The sequence below is a fragment of the Homo sapiens genome, chromosome 1 (assembly GCF_000001405.40).
Source record: "Homo sapiens chromosome 1, GRCh38.p14 Primary Assembly".
Taxonomy (NCBI): domain Eukaryota; kingdom Metazoa; phylum Chordata; class Mammalia; order Primates; family Hominidae; genus Homo; species Homo sapiens.
Genome location: NC_000001.11, coordinates 2,813,085 through 2,818,145, shown reverse-complemented (window position 1 = coordinate 2,818,145; position 5,061 = coordinate 2,813,085). Strand labels below are relative to the sequence as shown.

General features: G+C 52.3%; 2 long non-coding RNA genes across 3 annotated transcripts; one reads left to right on the top strand and one right to left on the bottom strand.

The window, feature by feature from the left end:
• Window positions 1–378: 378 nt before the first annotated feature.
• Window positions 379–4,088, bottom strand: LOC124903825 (uncharacterized). 2 transcript variants are annotated; one of them, XR_007065387.1, is made up of 2 exons: window positions 3,695–4,088; window positions 379–669 (listed from the first exon to the last, which is right to left on the bottom strand). It is a non-coding gene; the product is annotated as an uncharacterized LOC124903825 (long non-coding RNA). The 2 variants fall into 2 exon arrangements; XR_007065386.1 differs by having other exon boundaries at window positions 379–645.
• On the top strand, window positions 1,340–3,761 carry LOC124903826 (uncharacterized). Its single transcript, XR_007065392.1, has 3 exons — window positions 1,340–1,904; window positions 2,179–2,378; window positions 3,034–3,761. It is a non-coding gene; the product is annotated as an uncharacterized LOC124903826 (long non-coding RNA).
• Window positions 4,089–5,061: the final 973 nt, after the last annotated feature.

The following is a 5,061-nucleotide window of genomic DNA, read 5'->3' as shown; positions in this document are numbered from 1 at the left end:
GATTCAGCACACACCAGTATCATGGAGTCAAGGTCAAGACCAGCCAGATGGCCAGGCCTCCGTGGGAAAGTCAAGACCAGCCAGATAGTCCAGCCAGACGGCGAGGCCTCCATGGGCTCTGTGGGCCTTGTCCTGGTGCTATAGGGAAGCATGGGAAGGGCTTGGCAGGGGAGCAGCACCCTCAGAACAGGGGCTCCTGCTGACCAGCAGACTAAACAGAGGCCGCAGCCCACTTCCAAGGACTCCTGTGTCCCGGCGTCCCACGATACCATGCCACCTGTAAGAACCAAGGTCCTAGAGCGTTTACTGGTATACTGCCGTGACTTCAGAATTTTTAAGAAATCAAAATCCAATCCTTTATATCATGAGGCCAGGATCAATAATTCAATTGCTCAATTTATTCAAAAAGACAAACCCATGCAGAGCCTAGAAGCCTAGCGGGTTCCCATCCACAGGAGCCATGACAAGCACCCACGGAGCAGCAGTGATTCCAGCTTCAGTCCAAAGGCCTTCTCCCAAAACAGTGAAATGTGTGCCTGATGGTAGAGGGATTGATATGTCATAAACGCTTCGGAACCTCCGTGCAGATGGAAGAAGCCTCAGGACGAAGACAACAGGAGACTCTCTCTAAACAGTGGTAGCTTGCTGTCAAGAGGAAAAGAGCAGGACCTTAAAGAAGATTTAATTTTCCTGTTCAGAAAAAAGAAAGTGCAGCTTGCTAGCAGCATTCATTTAATTTTACATCAATACGCTCTTTGAGGCTGAAACAAATCTGACTGATTTTCAACATGGAAATAAAATATAAAAACTGTTCTTGGAGTTATTTCTAAACAGAACTGACATCAGAATCGTCTGAATTATCAGAATCGTCTATTTCGGAAAAATCGGATTCATCAAACGAATCTTCGGCCAACAAGTGTTTGAGAACAATGTCACCATCACGCACAGGAATGGCATGGTTTTTTGCAGCGATCGAAAGTTACTATATTTGTAAATGGAAATACCATGACTAAAAACAAAATAATAGAATGATGGCTTTTGTTTCCAAAGTCGATATTCCAGAGCGATGGGAAAATAATAATAAAAGTGAGATATTTTGTGGCAAAGCTATCTCAGTAAATGCCGCAGCCGTGGGCACTGCTGGTGAGTATTCTCAGGGCAAATGGGAAAAGGGTTAAAAGAATGTCTCAGAGTCCAAGGAGCAGCGGCACCGTGCAGCGGCTGACTCTCCATCCTTCCCGTCGTGGCATCGTTGGCAAGGTAAGGTGGCTACTTTTCCCACAGGAGATGCAGACTGACCCCACCTGCTTTGAATCCGGGCCGACCACTGGGATACGTGAATGTGGCAGCAGACAAGTTCACAGTGGCCCTGGGGCTTCCTCAATCCATCTCTTCCCCACCCCCAAAAAAACCTGCTTCTGCCGTCGGGACAAGCTCAAGCTAGTTGTTGGAGGATGAGAGGCCACACAGAGGAGACTTGAGGCGCCTCAGCCCACAGCCCGCCCAGCCCTCAACCATGGAAAACGCTAGCCTGGACCTGGAGGATCACCCTACCCCATCCTCTGCTGACCAAAAACACAAGAACAATGATTGATATGGATTGTTCCAAGCCACTGACTGTTGGGGTGATTTGTTAAGCAGTGATCAACGACCCATATCTACCACCAAGGCTGGCGGGCAGGGGCATTATCATGGCTCACTGCAGCCTTGACCTCCTCTCGGGCTCAAGCAATCCTCCATATTAGCCTACTGATTAGCTGGGACTACAAGTGCTTGCCACCACTCCCAAATAATTTTTATATTTTTTGTAAAGACAAGGTTTCTCCATATTGCCCAGGCTGGTCTTGAACTCCTGAGCTCAAGCAATCTGCCCGCCTCGACCTCCCACAGTGCTGGGATTACAGGTATGAGCCACCACATCCAGCCTCTCCAGCTTTTCTTTTATTACATGATGTTTGATTTTTTATAACATACTTTGCTTTAATTCATTTATCTGCTAAAACCTTCTTTTAAAATAATAGTAAACGTTTGATGTCTATAGTTTTATAAACATATATTTTGCTTGATGTTGTAATACACTTAAGAACTTTTACATCTCAAACATAGTAAATGTTTAGTTTGATTTTTTAAATGAGATTCAAATACTTTAAAAATAATATGCTTTTTCAATATCATGAGAATAAACAGCAGAAGAACAGAACCATGTTCGGCTCTACAGCCACCGCTGCCAAAGCCTGGGCAACACTCAAGAATGCGAACAAATCCCAGGTCGGCACTGCCTGATCCAGACCCTGGGGTCCTCGTCCTCCTGCCCAGCATGGGGTGCTGGCTGTGCTGAGGCTGCGGCCAGGACTACAGGGACGGAGTTGTGTGATTAGGTGCGTTCCCAGAAGACCTCTGGGTACAGGCTGCAGCTCCAGACGGGAGGGCCAGGGAGAGGCCAGCCTCGCCCTTCAGGCCAGGGAGCCAGGAAGCAACCTGGCCCCAGGTGGAGACGCCTGCCTCCTTCCGCCGGGGTCCTCGCCCAGCCTGGCCCTCCTGCTCCCTGCCCCCAAGCCCCGGCTGCCACCCCACAGGGGTCTTAAAAAGTTAAAAACCCAGTTCTTCCTGAGCTCCTGAGTTGCAAACAGAAATCTTACTATTCTTTTTTTTAGTTTTAAAATTACAATCATCATTTGCAGGCTAGGTGCAGTGGCTCACGCCTGTGATCCCAGCACTTTGGGAGGCCAAGGCAGGCGGATTGCTTGAGCCCAGGAGTTTGAGATCAGCCTGGGCAACATGGTGAAACCCCATCTCCACAAAAAAGACAAGAATTAGCCAGGTGTGGTGGTGTGTGCCTGTGGTCTCAGCTACTTGGGAGGCTGAGGTGGGAGGATCACTTGAGCACAGGAGGCAGATTGCAGGGAGCCGAGATCGCACCACTTGGCACATCACCCTGGGCGACAGAGTTAAGACCCTATCCCAAAAAATAAAAAATTATTAAATTAAATCATTTTTAATGGGGGAATAGCTAAATTCCTTTAAACATTTTAGATCCTGGATGGAGCTGGATGGAACCGAATATCTTAATTCTAAAAAGATTTCCAGAAAATCATACCGACCAGAGGACATCCAGCCCAGCTTAACACAGACGACGACCACTCAAGGTGAGACGCAGCCCTTGGCCCCAGCTTCCCATGGGCAGGGAGCCAGCCGAGCCCCTCAGAGGCGTTCCCCAAGGCTCTGCAGATGCGGCCCAGGAAGATGCAGGAAAAGAAGGACAGCCCAGTGTCTGGGGCCCCTCCCAGGGCGAAGAACCGGCATTCCTACCGCAGCCCAGGCTGACGCTGCAGCCAGTCCCGGGGCATTTTAGAGTCCCCAGGGACCGGTAACTGCTGTGGGTCCCCTGATTCCCCTTCTAGTTGGGCGCATTTACCGAGACAAGCCTGTCCCCGGCTCGGTGCTGTGTGGGGCCCAGCAGGGCTGGTCACTCGTCTTAGTGCCCAAGGCTCCAGGTTAAGAGGAGCCACGTGAGCCACGATGGTCATCACCAGATGCTGGGTGCCGTGCTCGAAGCCAGGACCGGCTGAGGCTTTCGGGGGTTGCATGTTTTGCATGCATCAGTGAAGGAGACATTTGTGACCCACTACTGGGGCAGGTGGTTTCACTTTCCCACCATTATGTCCAGAATTGGTAGGTTCTTGGTCTCACTAACCTCAAGAATGAAGCCGTGGACCCTCGTGGTGAGTGTTACAATTCTTAAAGATGGTGTGTCCGGAGTTTATTCCTCGGGTGTGTTCACAGTTTTTCTTCTGATGGGTTCGTGGTCTCGCTGGCTTCAGGAGTCAAGCTGCATAGCTTGGCGGTGAGTGTTGCAGCTCTTAAGTCGGCGGATCTGGAGTTGTTCGTTTCTCCCATCCGGAGTTGTTCATTCCTCCTGGTGGGCTCGGGCTCTCACTGGCCTCAGCAGTGAACCCGCAGACCTTCGTGGTGAGCGTTACAGCTCACAAAGGCAGTGCGGACCCAAACAGTGACCAGCAACAAGATTTATTGCAAACAGCAAAAGAACAAAGCTTCTACCGCATGGAAGACGACCCCAGCGGGTTGCCCCTGCTAGCTCGTGCAGCCTGCTTTTATTCCCTTATCTGACCCCACCCACATCCTGCTGATTGGTCCATTTTACAGAGAGCTGATTGGTCCGTTTTGACAGGGTGCTGATTGGTGCATTTACAAACCTTGAGCTAGACACAGAGTGCTGATTGGTGCATTTACAATCTTCCAGCTAGATATAAAAGTTCTCCAAGTCCCCACGAGATTAGCTAGACACAGAGCACTGTTTGGTGCATTTACAAACATTTAGCTAGACACAGAGTGCTGATTGGTGTATTTACAATCCTCTAGCTAGATGTAAAAGTTCTCCAACTCCCCACCCGACTCAGGAGCCCAGCTGGCTTCACCTAGTGGATCCCCCTCTGGGCCCGGGAGGGCAGCCCACCAGTCCTGCACCACACCCACACCCCTCAGCCCTTGGGCGGTCGATGGGACTGGGCGCCTCGGAGCAGAGGGCGGCACCTGTCAGGGAGGCTGGGCCCCACGGGAGCCCACAGTGGGAGGGGGGCTCAGGCATGGCAGGCTGCAGGTCCCAAGCCCTGCCCCATGGGGAGGCGGCTGAGGCCTGGTGAGAATTCAAGCATGGCGGAGGTGGGCCGGCAGTGCTGGGGTACCTGGTGTACCCTCCTCCGCAGCTGCTGGCCCAGGTGCTAAGCCCCTCACTGCCCGGGGCTGGCAGCGCCGGCCGGCCACTCCAAGTGTGGGGCCCACCGAGCCTGCACCCACCCGGAGCTCACGCTGGCGCGTGAGCACCACGTGCAGCCCCGGTTCCTGCCTGTGCCTCTCCCTCCACACCTCCCTGCAAGAGGGAGCCGGCTCTGGCCTCGGCCAGCCCAGAGAGGGGCTCCCACAGTGCAGCAGCAGGCTGAAGGGCTCGTCAAGCATGGCCAGAGTGGCCGCCGAGGCCGAGGAGGCGCCAAGAGTGAGCGAGGACTGCCAGCATGCTGTCACCTCTCACCATCCCCAGTTCTC